Source organism: Homo sapiens, chromosome 1 (assembly GCF_000001405.40).
Source record: "Homo sapiens chromosome 1, GRCh38.p14 Primary Assembly".
Classification (NCBI taxonomy): Eukaryota; Metazoa; Chordata; class Mammalia; order Primates; family Hominidae; genus Homo; species Homo sapiens.
Window position 1 is genome coordinate 228,356,229 of NC_000001.11, and position 19,134 is coordinate 228,375,362.

Here is a 19,134-nt window from a genome sequence, read left to right on the forward strand (position 1 = left end):
TGCAGTGCCTCCTGCATGCCACTGACCTGCCTGGATCATGCCTGTGTGGCCCAGCCACCTGCTTGCTGCCTGTCTGCTCACATAACATGCACCCTCTGACTGCCAGCACCTTACAGGTACTTGCAGTTACCTTGCATAGGCACCTTCCCCTGGGGCCTCGATTACTTCCACACTTCACAGCGCTCTCTTCCAGGGCCTCAGTACACTCCGTGGTCCCACTGTTTCAGCAGAGTAGACTTATTCCACACACTTCACAGTGGTTCATCCAGGGGTTCATCAGGAGCTAGGCCTGAGACCTGCTTTCCTCAGTGGGCCAGAGACAGAATTCTAATCCTCAGCACCCTGGGATTTACGACAGTGTTGTCCAACAGAACTTTCTGTGGTAACAGAAATGTTCTATATCTGCCAGGCGCAGTGGCGCAGGCCTGTAATACCAGCACTTTGGGAGGCCAAGGCAGGTAGATCCCCTGAGGTCAGGAGTTTGAGACCAGCCTGGCCAACATGGTGAAACCCCATCTCTACTAAAAACACAAAAATCAGCCGGGTGTGGTGGCGGGCCCCTGTAATCCCAGCCACTCAGGAGGCTGAGGCAGGAGAATTGCTTGAACCCGGGAGGCAGAGGTTGCAGTGAGCCAAGATCGTGCCACTGCACTCCAGCCTGGGTAATAGAGCAAGCTCTGTCGCGAAGAAAACAAAAAGAAATGTTCTATATCTCCCCTGTCCACCACAGTAGCCACTAGCCACTTGCGTCTGTTGAAGCATCCGGAATGTTGTCCAGTGTGATTGAAGGACAAATTTTAAATTTTAATTTTTGTTCATTTGAATTTAATTTACATAGTGCATTCATAGTGGACAGCACAGCCTTAGGGCCCTTAGAGGTCCCCAAGCCCGATTTTCACATTTGGAAGATGGGGAAACTGAAGTTCAGGGAAGAGAGGAGGTTAGCTCTGGGTGGCTAATGACTGGAAGCCACTTCCCCAGTGCCACACCCACTGTCCTTTTCTTCATCCTTCAGTGCCTCAAGGATTTAGGAAAATCACACATGCTGCTGCTGCTGAGGTAACACAAGAGGACCAGAACTGGGTGAACCCATAAATGTAGAGTTGGTTTTGACCTGAATAATCTGAGAGGACTTCCAATAGAAGGTGTGTGCAGGCGGGAGTGATGGAAGAGCTTGCAAAAGCCAGGAGGCAGGAAAGACTGTGGTTTCCTAAGGCCAGATGGCTGAGAAGCTCCAGGATGGGAAAACTCTTAGTTCTCAAGGGGCCTTCAGTTGGCCGTATTGTGGGAAAATCCCATTGCCAGACATTTGTTGAGATCCTGGGTTAACCCTTCCTTGGCTTTCTCCCTCCTCCCCTAAAACAAGTTGCTCCTATGATGCCACCCCACAATAGATGGGGCTGCCTGGATGCTGGTGAGCACCCCACTCCTGGAGGTATGCAACGGTGCCAGAGCCTCACATAGAGTAGGTCTACATTTTGTCCCTTTGGGAGCACTATTATTATCTACATTTTATGGATAAGAAAATGGAGGAGCAGAGATGGAGCCAGAATGCCCCACTGGCAAAGCTTCAGAGGCGACTCACGCCTAGGGAAAGGAGGACCAGGTGATTTACAAGCATACAAGTCCAGTCTGTTCCAGGCTTAGGAAGGTGGCAACCCTCACTCTGCAAAGCGTAATTTACCCACTCAGCTTGAGGATTGGAGGGAGCCAACTGCATAGGCATAGCGCTGAACCCAAGGGTGGACCACACAGGCAGAGGCACTGGGGAGGCAGTAGGCCTGAGAAGGAAACAGGGCTTGGAGACAGACCCCATATGCTGTGCTTGCAGTCTCAGTACAGGATGCCCATGTGTCCTTGTGGGGGTGGCAGTGAGTCCAGCATTTGGGGGATATTTAGGAGTCCCCATCCACCTGTTGGGCTGCACTCAACTTACCACCCTGCATCAGCAGATCAGGCAACATGAGGTGAGCAGATGGGGTTAGGCCCAGGCTGTCAGCAACAAGCCTACTGCCCTAGAGCCTGGGTGTGAGGCAGGAAATCAGGCCTGTGGGCACAAGTGGGCCACATCTCTGAGCCTCAGCTTCCCCATCAGTTAAGTGGAATATATCACTCCCTCCTTAATAGCTGAGGGCTGGAGGAGGCAGGACCTGTCATTGCTGTGCACCCCAAGGGGTGGTCACACATCTCTGGGCTCATGCCTGGGAGCAACTGCTTCCAGATGGAGCCCTGAGTTAGATGAAAGCAAAACTAAATGAGAGAGAGACAGTACTTTGGACAAAGCAGACAGCTGGCAGTAGCTCACTTGGTGACGACTTTGTCACCTCATACATGCCACATCCCTTGTCTTGAGCCTGAGGGAAGTGCAAGGCTGAGGGCAAAATGAGTAACAGGCAGGGAACTGGTATGTGTTGTGTGTTACTCAGCACGTTCTGCTTCCCTACGTGTTAACTCAGTTTGCTCTCAGTGCTCAGCAAGGTCAGGGGCACCGGGCACCAGAGGAGGACCTGGGCTGACTGCTCTGCTTCTCCCTCTTGGCCCCAGGCAGATTTTCAGCCTCTTTGACCCTCTCTGTCCCCTATAAAGTGGGATCAGACCCTCTCCCAGGTTACTGCAGAGTCAGACAAGAGAGCTTGCAAAGTTCCCAGCCAGTGCCCCACGCACAGCCACGTACAGCCAACCTTGCATTCTGCCTCCGTCACTCCTCCCCCATCCCATTTTGGGAGATGGAGCCAGGCAGGAGGAGGGGCTTGTCTGATGTCACACGGCTCATCATGGCCAAGCCAAGTCTGGGGCCACGTATCAGCCAGGTTTCTCCCTTGGCCTGCCTAAAGCCTTTCTGGGCCTCACACTTTCAGACCCAAAGGCCAGGAGAACAGGTCTGAGCTCAGCCCCCACCCCACCCCCACGGCATAAGCTGTCCAGCCCGTCCCTGGCTGAGGATTTTCAGGGTGTGCAGGCCCTGCCCTCTGAGAGTTGGCCACGCACCATCCCCCGTGATACAAAGCACAAAGGTGGGATGGACCTGGAGGGGAGACGGGCACCGGGGCCACTGCAATCAGGATGTGACCCGGTTTTTGGAGGCGCTTGCCTATGCAGTGCGGCACGGGCCTCCCCACGTACCTCACCTCTTGTTTTCAGATCTGCACACCAGAGACAGATTGGCCACATGGGACCTTGTGCTTTGTTTCTTTAGTTCTGTGGCAGGGGGTGGGGGACTCTGTAGGTTGGGCTCACATGCATGTGTAAGAGTTCTTTGTGCACTCTCACTGCTGGCTTGCTGGTACAATAACCTGAGCTCTCACGCTGCCCTGGCAATCCTGGGCGCTGTGCCCATCTTTTCTCGGGCCCTCTCCTCCCTCCCCCAGAGAAGAGACCATCACCACTGTGGTGAAGAGCCCACGTGGCCAACGACGGTCCCCCAGCAAGTCCCCCTCCCGCTCACCTTCCCGCTGCTCTGCCAGCCCGCTGAGGCCAGGCCTACTGGCCCCCGACCTGCTGTACCTGCCAGGTGCTGGCCAGCCCCGCAGGCCGGAGGCAGAACCAGGCCAGAAGCCCGTGGTGCCCACACTGTATGTGACGGAGGCCGAGGCCCACTCTCCAGCTCTGCCCGGACTCTCGGGGCCCCAGCCCAAGTGGGTGGAGGTGGAGGAGACCATTGAAGTCCGGGTGAAGAAGATGGGCCCGCAGGGTGTGTCTCCCACCACAGAGGTGCCCAGGAGCTCATCGGGGCATCTCTTCACACTGCCCGGTGCGACCCCCGGAGGGGACCCCAATTCCAACAACTCCAACAACAAGCTGCTGGCCCAGGAGGCCTGGGCCCAGGGCACAGCCATGGTCGGCGTCAGAGAGCCCCTTGTCTTCCGCGTGGATGCCAGAGGCAGTGTGGACTGGGCTGCTTCTGGCATGGGCAGCCTGGAGGAGGAGGGCACCATGGAGGAGGCGGGAGAGGAAGAGGGGGAAGACGGAGACGCCTTTGTGACGGAGGAGTCCCAGGACACACACAGCCTTGGGGATCGTGACCCCAAGATCCTCACGCACAACGGCCGCATGCTGACACTGGCTGACCTGGAAGATTACGTGCCTGGGGAAGGGGAGACCTTCCACTGTGGTGGCCCTGGGCCTGGCGCCCCTGATGACCCTCCCTGCGAGGTCTCGGTGATCCAGAGAGAGATCGGGGAGCCCACGGTGGGGCAGCCTGTGCTGCTCAGCGTGGGGCATGCACTGGGTCCCCGAGGCCCTCTCGGCCTCTTTAGGCCTGAGCCCCGTGGGGCGTCACCACCGGGACCCCAGGTCCGTAGCCTTGAGGGCACCTCCTTCCTCTTGCGGGAGGCCCCGGCTCGGCCTGTGGGCAGTGCTCCCTGGACGCAGTCTTTCTGCACCCGCATCCGGCGTTCTGCGGACAGTGGCCAGAGCAGCTTCACCACAGAGCTTTCCACCCAGACCGTCAACTTCGGGACAGTGGGGGAGACGGTCACCCTTCACATCTGCCCAGACAGGGATGGGGATGAGGCGGCACAGCCCTGATGCTGCTGCCATGGTGGCTTGGGGCAGCGGGGAGAAAGGAGTGTCCTTGAGGCCTAGGACGCTGCCCGGCCTCAGCAGCAGCCCTGGGAGCCTCCTGAGGGCCCTCCCTGTCCCTGGCCACGGGCCCTTCTTACCTCACTCAACTTCAGCCAGGAGGACTGGGTGGTGCTTGCAATGTTGGAATGACCGGCTCAAAGACCTCAGCTCTGGGCTGTTTCCTGTCAGCCTGGCAGGAGCCTCAGGACTGTGGACGAAGGATGTGGCCTTGGGCATTTGTCCTGTTCCCACATGGGCCTGGTCCCTCCCTCCTGGCCCCAGCCACAGCTGCCAGGCCTGACATGGCCTTGCCTCTCCTGCAGTCTTGGTGACTGAGACCCTTGGGTGGCGCTTCCCAGCTCTGCAGGCCCTCCTGGCCTTTTCTGCAGGGTGGACACAGGGTCTGTGTGTGGGCAGCAGCCCCTGTCTCTCAGCAAGAATAAAGCAGCTTCCTGTGCACCTCTCTGATTCTCCTTGCCTCTCCACTGGGCAGCCCTGGGTCCCCTCTACCTGCAGCCCTCAGGGGAGCCCCTACCCTCATCTGCCCTTGACTGTGAGGTCCCCTGGCTGGCCACTGCCTGTGGAGTCCCGGCCCACCCTGGGGTCCCTGAGTGGACCTGCGGCAGCTGGTTCCCATCATGGAGGGGCCACTCACAGGGGCACATGGCATGGCCAGAACAGCCAATCATGCTCCTTCCTGGTATGCGGGGTGCCAGGCAGGCCTTCCCCAGCCCTGGGCAGCTGGGACTGTTGTCATGGCAGACGTGGGGATGTGGTGACCCCGTGGGGCTCAGGATCTCAGCATCAGGGGTCAACTTCATTGTCTCTGGCCGGACGATCCCAGCACCATTAGCGTAAAACCCGAAGCCCTCCAGCCCCGAGGCTGGCTCAGGGGTCCTGCTGACTGCCTTGGAGTGAGGAGGGTGGAGAGGAGGGTGCCCTGGCAGTGTAGAGAGCAGCCCGGGTGTCCTCTCCTGGCTGGCGACTGGGGATGCAGCAGGGGTCCTCAGCAAGGGCTTGAAGACACAAGCAAGGCGGGAGGGTTGGGGCAGGTGACCTGCTGGACCCACGTGTGAGGTGCCTGGCTGATGACCAGGTGGACGGGGAGGCTGCTGAGGGGGAGCTGCCAGTGGGGACCACGCCCAGCAGGGCTCTGCAGGAGTCTCTTGCAGCCAGCAAGGGGCCAGGTGGGGCGGCCGGGGCCGGGGTTGCAGGTGGAGGGTAGGGCAGATTTGGGTCACAGGTGGAGGAGAGAAAGACGCCCGACAGGCGGGTGCAGGCAGGGGCTGCCCTGGGAGGGAGGGCCCATCCCCGGGGAAGGGTCCACAGTCACGGCCGCCTGGACGCCCACGGAACCCAAGCTTCCTCTGGTTCTCACCTTGGCACTAGGCTGTGCCCAGGTTTGAGGAGAGGCCAGCCCTGGTGGGGGGTTGTGATCAGTGGCAGAGCCAGGGCCTGGGGTGGGTATCCAGGCCTGGCTGCTCCCTGGAGGTGGCGACACTCTCCCGAAGGTTCCCGGGGAGGACGAGGCTGAGCTCGCGGGGGGTCTAGGAGGAGGAAGTGCCTGCCTGCAGCATGGGTCTGTGGTTTTTTCCTTTCTGTGTCCCAGGCCTCCACCTCCAGGCAGCCTCCTGAGAGGGGAGTGGGTGGGGAGCAGCCCAGTGTCGGCCCACCTGGGCGGTCTCTGAGGAGGGGGATGGGGTTCCTGGAGACCCCTCCGCAGGCTGCAGCTATCCCAGACCCCTGGGCCTCACCCCCTCTGCACTCATTTGCCCCTTCTACAGACACCACCCTGGAGCGAGCGGACCAGGAGGTCACATCTGTCCTGAAGAGACTGCTGGGCCCCAAGGCGCCAGGCCCCTCCACAGGGGACCTCACTGGCCCTGGCCCCTGCCCCAGGGGGGCACCCGCACTCCAGGAAACCGGCTCCCAGCCCCCAGTCACCGGAACTTCGGAGGCACCTGGTGAGGCCCAGATGCATGCTGATGACAAAGACCCCCAGGGATTGACCCCAACCCTGGCTGTGCAACATGAGGGGTGCCCATCCCATGGGCATTAACTGGCCAGGCCCCAGTGACCCCGATTTGGAATCCCAGTGGCTCCATGCACTGGGGGTCCTGGGCAAAGCCTACCTCTTGCTTGGCCTCAGTTTCCCCATCTGAATCTGGCACAGAATGGGTTCTGGAAGGTTCCTCCTGCTCTAAATCTGTTCCAGGAGCCAGAGGCTTCCCATGCTTGGCCTGTGATGGCCAATTCAGGTGCCCTGTGCTCCTCAGTGGACAGGGAGGAGGGGGAGCAGGGGGTGAGAAAGGAGAGGAGGAGAGAGAGGAGAAGAGGGAGAGGAGGAGAGGGGCAGAGGGGGAAGAAGACAGAAAAGGAGGAGGAGGTGGAGGAGGGAGGGGCAGAAGCAGCCAGTACCCCAGACAGACCAGACCAAACTGGCTGCTACAAGAGCCAGCTCTGTGGGTCACTCAAGCCCTTTCCCCCAGGTGTTATGATCACCTAAGCCCCTTCCCCCAGGTGTTGGGGGTCTCCTGTTATGAAGCACTTTAACGGCTTTTTTGTCTTTGGAACGGGGTCTCACTCTGTCACCTACGCTGGAGTGCAGTGTGCAGGGATACGACCACAGCTCACTGCAGCCTCAACCTCCTGGGTTTAAGCGATTCTCTCACCTCAGCCTCCCAAGTAGCTGGGACTACAGGTTCATGGCACCATGCCCGGCTAGCTTTTTTATTTTTGGGTAGAGATGGGGTATTGCTGTGTTGCCCAGGCTGCTCTCAAACTCCTGGGCTCAAGCCTTTTTCCTACCTCAGCTTCCCAAAGTGCTGGGATTACAGGTGTGAGCCTGGCCACCAACCTGCTCGAGCCCTGGCCTCGCTCCAGCCCAGTCCTCAGCTCCCTGATCAAGGACCTTTTCCTAAAGGGACAGATGGTGCATCTGGGGAAACTGAGGCCTGGGTTGGGGGAAATCTCATCCCAGGCCCTGCTGCTCACCGCAGGTGGATGGGGGCCCTGGAGTCAGGCGTCCAGAAAGCCATGAGGACAGGGCTGGAGCGAGGCCAGAGCTAGGGCAGGATGGCAGCCAGACTCCTCCCCTGCCCCGTCCAGCGTCCTCTGCATCCTGCTTGTGTAGGCTTCTCGGGTCCATGCCCTTCTCCTTCTCCTTGTTTGGCCCAGACCCTGCCTTGGTTATCTTCACACAAAGGACCATCACGGCCTTGCGTCCTGCGTGTCTACCCACTCTGGTCACCCCACCCCATCTTGCAGGGCCTTCCCTGATGCACCCTCCCCAGCCACCCCTACCTGGTCCCATCACCTTGGAGAAAGGCCGTCAGGCTGGAGCCAAGCAGGATGAGACCTCCAGGGCACAGCCCCCCACCATGGTCTCACGCTTAATTCCCTAAACACATGCTCCAACTGGAGTTTCCAACAGTCCCATAGTCCCTGTGCTGCTTCTGTGGCCTCCCGCAGGGCCAGGGGGCATAGGGTTCGGGGCAAGCAGGCCACCTTCCCCCATGAGATGAGAGGGCCACCCCTCGGGTCTGCTTTCCCACAACAGGCACGGAAGCCCCCAGGCCTTCAATGAGCTCAGGCTCCTCCCTCTAGCTGCCTGGGCACCCTGGGGCCACCTAGGGCCAAGGGGCGTCCCTCTAGGCCCCACCTTGGTGTACATTTGCTCCGTGCACCTATCACGGGGCTGGCTGGGTGCAGGGCCTGGCCCAGGAGAAGGGGCACAGCATCCCTGTCACCCTGGGAAGTGGTCTCTTCTCATTCTTCTGGCCTGTCACCCTTCCCCCCGCAGTGATCGAGGGCTGGTGTCTGCAAGGGAAGGACAGGTCAAGGTTGGGGCGGGGGTCTGGGAGGACTGGCCCTGACCCTCACTCTCACTCTGCCTCCTGGGTGGAGTGCACCCCGCCACATCCAATGGCCTGTGTGCCAGGGCCACAGTGGCTGAGCAGACAAACCTGCCCCAGGTGCCGTTTGGCCCATCCTGGGCAGATCGCGGGCTCCTTCACAGGCCTGACGCTCGTTCACTCTGTCCGATGCCTCTGCAGAGTGGGCATGGGTTGTCCTGCTCTGGCCATGACCCCACCCACCCTGCCTGTGGCAGGCATCCGTCCCACTCGTCCACCTGCTTGAAGCTCACGTGTACCCGACTCCTACAGCCACCTGCCCTGTCTCCCAGCAGCCGTGCCCCCGAGGGTGCCACAGCCCCTCCTCCACGAAGGCCCAGAGCAGGAGCCGGAGGCCATTGCCAGAGCCCAGGAATGGACTGTGCCCATTCGGTAACCTCCCCAGACTGCTGGGTCCTGCAGTGGGGGCCAACCCCCATGGGACATCCCAGGGCAGGCAGGGCAGGGCACGAGTTACCGCGGTGGCCTCACAGCCCTCACTCCACTCCTTGCCAGCAGCCACCCCGGACAGGGCAGGGCAGGGAGGAGAGGCCACCCTTGGGATGAGAGGTGTTGGGGGGCCCCCTCCACACTAAGGGTTGGGCCCCCATCTGTACATCTCATCCCAGAGAGGCTTTGCTGCAGCCTCTTCCGAGTAGTGGTGAGCAGGGATCCCCTATCTCACTGGGAGGCCTGGCTGCTCAGAACGTGTGGCGGCCCGGCAGAGCCTCACCCCACTTCCTAACCCCAGGATGGAGGGTGCAGCCTGGCCCGGGGCAGGCACAGGGGAGCTGCTCTGGGACGTCCACAGCCACGTGGTCAGAGAGACCACACAGAGGACCTACACATACCAGGCCATCGACACGCACACCGCACGTACGGGGTTGGGCCCAGCTGGGTTATAAGCGTGATCCCCATGCCCCCTGCCCAGGGCTGGGGGGCATTTGCACATCTGCAAAGGCCTCCCAGCCTGTCCCAGCCCTGCCCCAGCCTGGGACCCCCACATTCTACTCACCGTGTCTCCTCAGAGGGGCCAGAACCCTCCACTGGGGAGAGGCAAGTGGCGGTGAACTTGGTGTCCATAGGACCCTGTCCCTGAGAGCGACAGCTGAGTTAGTGAGCTCCACCGGCCCCACCAACTCCTTCTGATCACCTGGCCAGCTGAGGTCAGAGTGGGAGAGGCAGTGGTTCCATTGAAGGAGTACTCCTAACTGTCAGAAGCCTGGGCGGTCAGGATGGGGTGCTGTCGCTTGGGCTGCGGGGGGTGTTCAGTTGCCCACAGTGTATCTCAGGGTCTCACCAACCATCCAAGCATGGTAGGCTGTGGCTGGCACCCAGGGTTGTGTGGCTGGGGAGGTGGTCTCCACAGTTCCCTCCCTGCCCTCCCAGGGCCCCCATCCATGCAGGTAACCATCGAGGATGTGCAGGCACAGACAGGCGGAACGGCCCAATTCGAGGCTATCATTGAGGGCGACCCACAGCCCTCGGTGACCTGGTACAAGGTAGGCGCGCAGGTCCAAGTGGGTGAGATTCTGGGATGGCCCCAGGAGCTGGGGGGCCCACGGGAGGTGGGTGCAGTCCACACCGTGCACTTCCCCCACATCCCCCCTAGACTGGACACACAGCAGGTGTCGGAAGCACTGCTCAGTGAAGGGTGGGGTGACGGGGTCCCCCAGAGTGGGCTGATAGCAGCCCTGCCGGTCCTGTGCCTCCAGGACAGCGTCCAGCTGGTGGACAGCACCCGGCTTAGCCAGCAGCAAGAAGGCACCACATACTCCCTGGTGCTGAGGCATGTGGCCTCGAAGGATGCCGGCGTTTACACCTGCCTGGCCCAAAACACTGGTGGCCAGGTGCTCTGCAAGGCAGAGCTGCTGGTGCTTGGGGGTGAGTTGGTCTACCCCTCCTGGGCCCCAGGCTCTGCAGCCGGGCTGGCTGGGTACAGGTCTTGGCTCCATGGGGCAACCTCTCTTCCCATGGTGGTACCTGGGTGGGTGTGGTACCTGGGTGAGTGTGGTTCCATAGTCTTGGGTCCATGGAGCAGCTCCCGTCAACACCACAGCATTGGGTTCCATGGGGATCAGGGTGGTCACCTTTGCCCATACCAGCCGCTTCCCACTCCTTAGGGGACAATGAGCCGGACTCAGAGAAGCAAAGCCACCGGAGGAAGCTGCACTCCTTCTATGAGGTCAAGGAGGAGATTGGAAGGTAGCACCCAGCCCCCTTTCCCCTGGACTGCCGGATGGCTCCTTTCCCCAGGCCACCTGGGCTTCCCTCACTCCCTCCTTCCTAGGGGCGTGTTTGGCTTCGTAAAAAGAGTGCAGCACAAAGGAAACAAGATCTTGTGCGCTGCCAAGTTCATCCCCCTACGGAGCAGAACTCGGGCCCAGGCATACAGGGAGCGAGACATCCTGGCCGCGCTGAGCCACCCGCTGGTCACGGGGCTGCTGGACCAGTTTGAGACCCGCAAGACCCTCATCCTCATCCTGGAGCTGTATCCTGCCCTCAGCCCCTGAGACGGCTTGAGGAGGGGCAGGCAGGGCCAGGCCGGGGCTCAGAGGAGCCATGTGCACGGTGTCCCCTGCCTGGCTGGGTGGTGGCGACAGCCACCCAGCCAGGAATTTGGGTGGGGAGGCTTCTGTTCCACGGAGCAGTAACTGGAGTCCCCAGGGGCTACTGGTGGCTAGCTGGCCCTGATGACCTGATGCCCTCAGCAGGGATGGCGGGGGTCCTCTCCCACTCTGTAGATGGCCTCTTAGAGAGAAAGGAGCTGCCTGGCCCGGCTACTCTGGGGCTCACCCCGCCACCCACATGGCCTTGTCTTGGGGGGTCTCCTCTGGTGCTCTTGACAGGGCGTCAGCTGGACACATGGCCCCCTGCCCAAAGTCGGTGTCCTCTTTGCAGGGAGAGGGTGCTGGATGGGCTCTGTACAGAGGGGACAGGATGCCCCCTCCCACCGTGCCACTGCAGTGAGTGGCCTTGGTCCCCAGGGTCAGCCTGCAGCCCCTCCCTCTCCTCAGGGCTGGGTGCCATCTGGGGTTCAGAGGGGTCCCCGCTCCACCCTCCTCAACCCTGAGCATCATCCCCTGCTGCCTCCAGAGATCAGATGTACCCATAGACCTGGCTGCCTCACTGTGAGTGTGGGTTTCTGGGGACAGGCAGGTTTCAGCCTCCCAAGCCTGCTTTTCCTTGATGGGATCCCAGGTGCTCATCCGAGGAGCTGCTGGACCGCCTGTACAGGAAGGGCGTGGTGACGGAGGCCGAGGTGACTGGGCTGCCGCCCGCCACTGCCCCAGCCATGCACCCTGCCCCAGCCCCCGCTCAGACATCCGGTCCCTGCAGATACAGTCCCAGCCACAGCCTTCTCTAGCTCAGGGGCCTCTGGGGCTCCCCAGGGCGTGTTGACCCCTCATTGGGCTCTACACAGCCTGCCACCCCGCCTCACCTGGCCAGCTGACCAGCCCTGCCTGCCCCTCCCCCACTGAGGTTCACAAGTCCATTGTATCCTCCCCACCTTTGAGGGATCTCCTGGCTTAGGGGCACACGGGGCCCAGGAGCGCTTTGCATATCAGCTGCCGAAGCCAGGAGGAGGCTGGGCTTAAAGTGGAGAGGGAGGCTGGGGCTGGGCTCCCGCCTGAATAGCGGCCCTTGCCGCAGGTCAAGGTCTACATCCAGCAGCTGGTGGAGGGGCTGCACTACCTGCACAGCCATGGCGTTCTCCACCTGGACATAAAGGTTCGCATGTCCTCACCCCTGCACCCCAGAGCCTGGGGCCTGCAGGCCAGGTGGGGCAGGCCCACCACTCCCAGTCTGAGAGGACTTGCTTGCCTCCAGGGACAGGGAGCTCACCACCTCTAGGCAGCCCTTTCAGGTGGGGCGTGGCTCTGGTGGAGCAGAGGCTGTCCCCAAATGGCTGCACCGGGTGCTCCCCACTGTCCCACCCTGCCCCCGGGCCTCTGGGTGTCCCCACCAGGCCTATCAGCCCCAGGAGTCACCCCCTTAGGGCACGGCTCTCACCCACTCCCAACTCTCCCCAACAGCCCTCTAACATCCTGATGGTGCATCCTGCCCGGGAAGACATTAAAATCTGCGACTTTGGCTTTGCCCAGAACATCACCCCAGCAGAGCTGCAGTTCAGCCAGTACGGCTCCCCTGAGTTCGTCTCCCCCGAGATCATCCAGCAGAACCCTGTGAGCGAAGCCTCCGACATTTGGTGAGTGGGTGGCTGGGCCAACGGGTCTGGGTCTGCAACTTCTCCGGGAAGCCAGTTCCCACAGATGGCTGGGCCCTCTCCTCTGCCCCGGGGAGGCAGCAGGCAGCCTACTGGTCAGCCAAGGGGTCCTCCCTGAACCTGTCTCCTCCTGCAGCCCTGGGCTCCCCACTTCCCTGTGTGTGTGCCTCTTACCTGACAGCCAGGCCTGGGGTGACACACAGTGTGCGCTTTTGTCTTGCAGGGCCATGGGTGTCATCTCCTACCTCAGGTGAGCAGAGCCCTGCCCCATCAGCTGCCTCCTCCAAAGCTGACATGAGACCCCTCCCTTGTAGGCCCACCGAGGGCATGTGCACTGCTGGCTGCTCCCCATATCAGAAACCTGAGACCCAAGGGGCTACTATCTTGGGAACAGGCGGTCAGCCAACCCTGATAAGAGGTTCCTGCCCGGAGTGTCTCACAAACACCCTGTCATCAGAGGGCTGTGCTGGGTCACGAGGCAGCCAAACCACTGCCCTGCAGGACTGGGGGTTGTCCAGCAGCCGCTCATAACAGCCACTGCTGCCCTGAGGATGATGGTGGTATGGTATAGACTGAGCCTGGACCTCCTCAGCAGGCTGATCCTTAATTCCTAACTCAGGCTGATCTTGATCCCTGCCCCAGACTAAGCCTGGATCCCGATTTCAGACTAAGGCTGGTGCCACCCAGGCTGATTCTAGATGCCTGCCCCAGCCTGAGCCTGGATCCCCATCTTAGACTAAGGCTGGAGCCTACCCAGGCTGACCCTACATCCCTGCCCCAGCCTGAGTCTGGATCCCTACCTCAGACTAAGGCTAGTGCCCACTTAAGCTGACCCTAGATCCCGTCTGCTACTTGAGCCCAGATACTCACCCCAGGCTCAGTCTGGGTCCCTGTTCCAAGCTGAGCCTGGATCTCACTGGGGAAATGAGAGAAACTTGCTGGGATACTCAGAGCTAGATGGGAGTGGGACTAAGAGCCCATCTGCGGTCAGGGCCTCATCTGAGGGCTGGACCCTCCCTCTGTCTTCAGCCTGACCTGCTCATCCCCATTTGCCGGCGAGAGTGACCGTGCCACCCTCCTGAACGTCCTGGAGGGGCGCGTGTCATGGAGCAGCCCCATGGCTGCCCACCTCAGCGAAGACGCCAAAGACTTCATCAAGGCTACGCTGCAGAGAGCCCCTCAGTGAGTGCACCCCCAGGCTTCTCCTGCCCGGGGCCAGTCAGCCCTGCCCCGGGGGCAGCTGACCACCTGGCCCCTCCTGAGCCTTCCTCTCCCTGTAGGGCCCGGCCTAGTGCGGCCCAGTGCCTCTCCCACCCCTGGTTCCTGGTGAGTATCAGGGTCAGCCCCACACTATGCAGGGGGAGCCTGAGGCCAACAGGGGCAGGGCCTCTGGGCAACAGGGCATGTGAGCACAGAACTGTGGCTGTGGCCCGACCTCTGCCCAGCCCAGAGGACGTTTGTCCCTGTGCGTTAGTGAGAGGGCTGTGGGAACCTCAGGCTGGAACCACATTTCAGTGCCCCAGCCCCCAACCCCCAGCAGGAGGCAGGGAGAACTGCAAGGAGCTCAGGGACAGGGGGTCGCTGTCACCTCTGACCTCTGGCCTTTGCCATCTGCCCCACCTGGACATCTTGGGTGAGGGCTGTGGTGTCCTGGATCCAGGGAATCCCAGGGCTGGGGCTGCCCAGAAGGGCTTCCATCATGGGAGGGGCCCCTATCAGGGCACCATGGTCTCCCTGCCATGTGGCTGCCCACCTCGGTCTCCCAGAAATCCATGCCTGCGGAGGAGGCCCACTTCATCAACACCAAGCAGCTCAAGTTCCTCCTGGCCCGAAGTCGCTGGCAGGTGAGCCGTGACCATCTGAGTAGGGACCAGTGAAGGGGAAACTGAGGCCCCACGGGGCCAGCTGCGCACCCAGAAGTGCAGGGAAGCGGGGCTGGGCTCCTTTGAGCATGCTGAAAGGAGGCAGGAGTCATCTGCTGGGCACAGCGGGGTTGGGTGCACACAATCCCATGGGGCAGGAGGGTGGAATGACTGCACCCTGGGGGCAGAGGACCCCAGAGCTCCTGGGTCTCCCCACCTGATGCCTGCTGCCCCCCATGCGGTTCCAGCGTTCCCTGATGAGCTACAAGTCCATCCTGGTGATGCGCTCCATCCCTGAGCTGCTGCGGGGCCCACCCGACAGCCCCTCCCTCGGCGTAGCCCGGCACCTCTGCAGGGACACTGGTGGCTCCTCCAGTTCCTCCTCCTCCTCTGACAACGAGCTCGCCCCATTTGCCCGGGCTAAGTCACTGCCACCCTCCCCGGTGACACACTCACCACTGCTGCACCCCCGGGGCTTCCTGCGGCCCTCGGCCAGCCTGCCTGAGGAAGCCGAGGCCAGTGAGCGCTCCACCGAGGCCCCAGCTCCGCCTGCATCTCCCGAGGGTGCCGGGCCACCGGCCGCCCAGGGCTGCGTGCCCCGGCACAGCGTCATCCGCAGCCTGTTCTACCACCAGGCGGGTGAGAGCCCTGAGCACGGGGCCCTGGCCCCGGGGAGCAGGCGGCACCCGGCCCGGCGGCGGCACCTGCTGAAGGGCGGGTACATTGCGGGGGCGCTGCCAGGCCTGCGCGAGCCACTGATGGAGCACCGCGTGCTGGAGGAGGAGGCCGCCAGGGAGGAGCAGGCCACCCTCCTGGCCAAAGCCCCCTCATTCGAGACTGCCCTCCGGCTGCCTGCCTCTGGCACCCACTTGGCCCCTGGCCACAGCCACTCCCTGGAACATGACTCTCCGAGCACCCCCCGCCCCTCCTCGGAGGCCTGCGGTGAGGCACAGCGACTGCCTTCAGCCCCCTCCGGGGGGGCCCCTATCAGGGACATGGGGCACCCTCAGGGCTCCAAGCAGCTTCCATCCACTGGTGGCCACCCAGGCACTGCTCAGCCAGAGAGGCCATCCCCGGACAGCCCTTGGGGGCAGCCAGCCCCTTTCTGCCACCCCAAGCAGGGTTCTGCCCCCCAGGAGGGCTGCAGCCCCCACCCAGCAGTTGCCCCATGCCCTCCTGGCTCCTTCCCTCCAGGATCTTGCAAAGAGGCCCCCTTAGTACCCTCAAGCCCCTTCTTGGGACAGCCCCAGGCACCCCCTGCCCCTGCCAAAGCAAGCCCCCCATTGGACTCTAAGATGGGGCCTGGAGACATCTCTCTTCCTGGGAGGCCAAAACCCGGCCCCTGCAGTTCCCCAGGGTCAGCCTCCCAGGCGAGCTCTTCCCAAGTGAGCTCCCTCAGGGTGGGCTCCTCCCAGGTGGGCACAGAGCCTGGCCCCTCCCTGGATGCGGAGGGCTGGACCCAGGAGGCTGAGGATCTGTCCGACTCCACACCCACCTTGCAGCGGCCTCAGGAACAGGCGACCATGCGCAAGTTCTCCCTGGGTGGTCGCGGGGGCTACGCAGGCGTGGCTGGCTATGGCACCTTTGCCTTTGGTGGAGATGCAGGGGGCATGCTGGGGCAGGGGCCCATGTGGGCCAGGATAGCCTGGGCTGTGTCCCAGTCAGAGGAGGAGGAGCAGGAGGAGGCCAGGGCTGAGTCCCAGTCGGAGGAGCAGCAGGAGGCCAGGGCTGAGAGCCCACTGCCCCAGGTCAGTGCAAGGCCTGTGCCTGAGGTCGGCAGGGCTCCCACCAGGAGCTCTCCAGAGCCCACCCCATGGGAGGACATCGGGCAGGTCTCCCTGGTGCAGATCCGGGACCTGTCAGGTGATGCGGAGGCGGCCGACACAATATCCCTGGACATTTCCGAGGTGGACCCCGCCTACCTCAACCTCTCAGACCTGTACGATATCAAGTACCTCCCATTCGAGTTTATGATCTTCAGGAAAGTCCCCAAGTCCGCTCAGCCAGAGCCGCCCTCCCCCATGGCTGAGGAGGAGCTGGCCGAGTTCCCGGAGCCCACGTGGCCCTGGCCAGGTGAACTGGGCCCCCACGCAGGCCTGGAGATCACAGAGGAGTCAGAGGATGTGGACGCGCTGCTGGCAGAGGCTGCCGTGGGCAGGAAGCGCAAGTGGTCCTCGCCGTCACGCAGCCTCTTCCACTTCCCTGGGAGGCACCTGCCGCTGGATGAGCCTGCAGAGCTGGGGCTGCGTGAGAGAGTGAAGGCCTCCGTGGAGCACATCTCCCGGATCCTGAAGGGCAGGCCGGAAGGTGAACCCCCACCCCACCCCAAGCATCCTGCATGTCCAGGGGCCCCCATTCTGTACCTAAGGTTACTGCACTCCAGGTGACGGCAGGAGGCTCCCAGGGGCCCCCCGCTGGTGTCCAGGTGCTGCCCACACCTCCTGTCCCTGCCTCAGGCCTCTGAATCTTGGGATCACCTCTACAGCCCTGACAACCCTCCCCACAGGGCAGCTGGGACCCAGCCCTGGGACCTAACATAGCGGTGGAGGTCTGGGGAGGCTGTAGGTGGTATGCCCCTGGGGAAAGCATTTGAAGGGGCCAGAGTCTTCCTGAACCATAATCCTCCCTGAACCGAGTCCTCCCGAACGGCCCCAGGCCCTCCCTGACCCCAGACACCCCAACGCTGCACTCTCCCAACCCCAGATCCTGCCTGACTGCAGACCTTCCTAACCCCAGATCCTCCTGAGTCCTCCTTGACCCCATAGTCCTCTCTGACCCCAGACCCTACCTTACCCCAGACCCTCCCCAACTCCATACCCTACCTGACCCCAGACCCTCCTGACCTCAGGCCCTCCCTGACCCCAAAACCCTTCCAGACCCCCAAACCGTTCACAACCCCATAGTTCTCCCCAACCACATAGTCCTCCCTGGCCCTGGACCCTCCTGACCCCGTGCCTGGAGGTGGGGAGGGTGCCTGGTCTTCATGTTTCCTCTGTCCTCTGTGGCCTGGAAGTCTGGGGAGTGGGCAGCGGGCCAGCCGACCCCAATTTCTTCCTGTCCCAGCTGCTCGGGGTCCTTGCAGCCAGAGGCAGCTGGTACTACCCAGAGGGGCCAGGCCTCCTGACCATGACCTTCACTGGCCCTCTTCCTCCTGCAGGTCTGGAGAAGGAGGGGCCCCCCAGGAAGAAGCCAGGCCTTGCTTCCTTCCGGCTCTCAGGTCTGAAGAGCTGGGACCGAGGTGAGCAGGCCCAACACAGAGACCAGGCCCCACTGCCTCTCAGGGTCCCACCAGCGTGGCCAGACCGGTGGGGAGCAAGCTTGCACTCACATGGGTGCGGGAACAGATGAGGGGTCCTGGTGGGTGTAGTGAACTGAGCAGTCTTGGAGGACTTCCTGGAGGAGGTGATGGTGGTACAGATGGGCCAGGCTGGGGAGTTGGCAGTGGTGGGGCAGGGCTCCTCCTGGTGTCTCCAGGGTCCAGGCCATGCTCTGGGGCCTGGAGGTCACCCCTGAAGGCTGACCTCACCCTCCCTCCTCAGCGCCGACATTCCTAAGGGAGCTCTCAGATGAGACTGTGGTCCTGGGCCAGTCAGTGACACTGGCCTGCCAGGTGTCAGCCCAGCCAGCTGCCCAGGCCACCTGGAGCAAAGGTAAGAAGCTGTCCCAGGGGCTGGGGGCTGTGTGAAATCGGGTGAGTGGCCATCCTGTGAGCTGGCCCCACGGGATGCCTCGCTGTCTGGAGGAAAACTGAGGCCCAGGGAGAGGTGTGAGGCCTGGCTGTGGCATGAGGCTTGCTCTGTCCTTTTGCAGACGGAGCCCCCCTGGAGAGCAGCAGCCGTGTCCTCATCTCTGCCACCCTCAAGAACTTCCAGCTTCTGACCATCCTGGTGGTGGTGGCTGAGGACCTGGGTGTGTACACCTGCAGCGTGAGCAATGCGCTGGGGACAGTGACCACCACGGGCGTCCTCCGGAAGGCAGGTACGTGGGCCACACTGGGGGTCCCACCAGGCCAGGGAGGCTGGGCTGGGGCTGCTGGGAAGCCTCATCCTGCGTGGAATGCTTCCGGGCCCGTGCATTGGCCGCTGAGGCATCCGCTCCCTGACCCTGAGCAGCCCACATCCCTATGGGGCCAGGCACCACACATGGCCAGGGCTGCAGGAGGCCTGAGAAGGTCAACACAGAGTTCTGACCGCCCAGGCTGCCTTGGGCTGGCAGGAGGCCCTGAGCTGGTCCCAGCAGAAACAACCAGCCTTGGGAAGGATGGCCGGACGCAGCTGCTGACGTTACAGGGCTTGGAAGGAAGCCTGTTCATCCACGCTCCCTGCCAGGGAGAAAGCCCATCCCATTGGCCACTTGCCGGGAGAACTGAGTTTCTCGGGCGCATGACCCATTGCACCATCTTCCCACGTTCCTTCCATGCCCATCCCTCCAGCCTATGCAGGAGTGGGCTGCTTCCCGTTCCATGCCTCAATCAAAGTCGAGTTACAAGCACAACACAGTTCCCTGGGGCGTGTTTCTGAGGTGGTCAGGATGGGGGCTACAGGCCTAGCTCTGGGACCCCTGGCCCAATGCCCAGAGTGGGCCGGCC

At 62.2% G+C, this 19,134-nt stretch overlaps 1 protein-coding gene and 1 long non-coding RNA gene across 6 annotated transcripts in view, besides 4 other annotated features; one reads left to right on the forward strand and one right to left on the reverse strand.

Annotated features, from left to right (window-relative positions):
• The window catches only part of OBSCN (obscurin, cytoskeletal calmodulin and titin-interacting RhoGEF), a 170,833-nt gene that overhangs the window by 148,185 nt on the left and 3,514 nt on the right, over window positions 1-19,134 (forward strand). For 3 of the 4 annotated variants that reach the window (NM_001386125.1, NM_001271223.3, NM_001098623.2), the window contains 18 exons: window positions 6,348-6,527; window positions 8,753-8,849; window positions 9,208-9,332; window positions 9,846-9,958; window positions 10,172-10,340; window positions 10,580-10,661; window positions 10,747-10,947; window positions 11,658-11,718; window positions 12,111-12,188; window positions 12,494-12,666; window positions 12,908-12,934; window positions 13,714-13,866; window positions 13,965-14,010; window positions 14,451-14,528; window positions 14,795-16,853; window positions 17,704-17,784; window positions 18,086-18,196; window positions 18,357-18,524. In NM_001386125.1, the coding sequence (NP_001373054.1) occupies window positions 6,348-6,527; window positions 8,753-8,849; window positions 9,208-9,332; window positions 9,846-9,958; window positions 10,172-10,340; window positions 10,580-10,661; window positions 10,747-10,947; window positions 11,658-11,718; window positions 12,111-12,188; window positions 12,494-12,666; window positions 12,908-12,934; window positions 13,714-13,866; window positions 13,965-14,010; window positions 14,451-14,528; window positions 14,795-16,853; window positions 17,704-17,784; window positions 18,086-18,196; window positions 18,357-18,524 (4,002 nt within the window). Of the gene's footprint in view, window positions 1-3,368; window positions 5,023-6,347; window positions 6,528-8,752; window positions 8,850-9,207; window positions 9,333-9,845; window positions 9,959-10,171; window positions 10,341-10,579; window positions 10,662-10,746; window positions 10,948-11,657; window positions 11,719-12,110; window positions 12,189-12,493; window positions 12,667-12,907; window positions 12,935-13,713; window positions 13,867-13,964; window positions 14,011-14,450; window positions 14,529-14,794; window positions 16,854-17,703; window positions 17,785-18,085; window positions 18,197-18,356; window positions 18,525-19,134 lie in introns of those variants that run through there. The other variant, NM_052843.4, reaches the window with a different exon arrangement.
• Window positions 809-14,522, reverse strand: LOC101927401 (uncharacterized). 2 transcript variants are annotated; one of them, XR_007066914.1, is made up of 9 exons: window positions 14,438-14,522; window positions 11,968-12,176; window positions 11,566-11,685; window positions 10,457-10,574; window positions 9,472-9,551; window positions 5,942-6,194; window positions 5,219-5,579; window positions 4,662-4,771; window positions 809-4,396 (listed from the first exon to the last, which is right to left on the reverse strand). It is a non-coding gene; the product is annotated as an uncharacterized LOC101927401 (long non-coding RNA). The 2 variants fall into 2 exon arrangements; XR_007066915.1 differs by having other exon boundaries at window positions 10,457-10,634.
• Window positions 11,617-12,185: an enhancer, noted in NCBI's record as "H3K27ac-H3K4me1 hESC enhancer chr1:228555546-228556114 (GRCh37/hg19 assembly coordinates)". NCBI's record gives its function as "activates a minimal SCP1, AML or CMV promoter by ChIP-STARR-seq in naive and primed H9 embryonic stem cells {active_cell/tissue: H9 hESC(naive and primed)}" and the evidence as "EXISTENCE:reporter gene assay evidence [ECO:0000049][PMID:30033119]".
• Window positions 12,186-12,753: an enhancer, noted in NCBI's record as "H3K27ac-H3K4me1 hESC enhancer chr1:228556115-228556682 (GRCh37/hg19 assembly coordinates)". NCBI's record gives its function as "activates a minimal SCP1, AML or CMV promoter by ChIP-STARR-seq in primed H9 embryonic stem cells {active_cell/tissue: H9 hESC(primed)}" and the evidence as "EXISTENCE:reporter gene assay evidence [ECO:0000049][PMID:30033119]".
• Window positions 13,400-13,966: an enhancer, noted in NCBI's record as "H3K27ac-H3K4me1 hESC enhancer chr1:228557329-228557895 (GRCh37/hg19 assembly coordinates)". NCBI's record gives its function as "activates a minimal SCP1, AML or CMV promoter by ChIP-STARR-seq in primed H9 embryonic stem cells {active_cell/tissue: H9 hESC(primed)}" and the evidence as "EXISTENCE:reporter gene assay evidence [ECO:0000049][PMID:30033119]".
• Window positions 13,967-14,532: an enhancer, noted in NCBI's record as "H3K27ac-H3K4me1 hESC enhancer chr1:228557896-228558461 (GRCh37/hg19 assembly coordinates)". NCBI's record gives its function as "activates a minimal SCP1, AML or CMV promoter by ChIP-STARR-seq in naive H9 embryonic stem cells {active_cell/tissue: H9 hESC(naive)}" and the evidence as "EXISTENCE:reporter gene assay evidence [ECO:0000049][PMID:30033119]".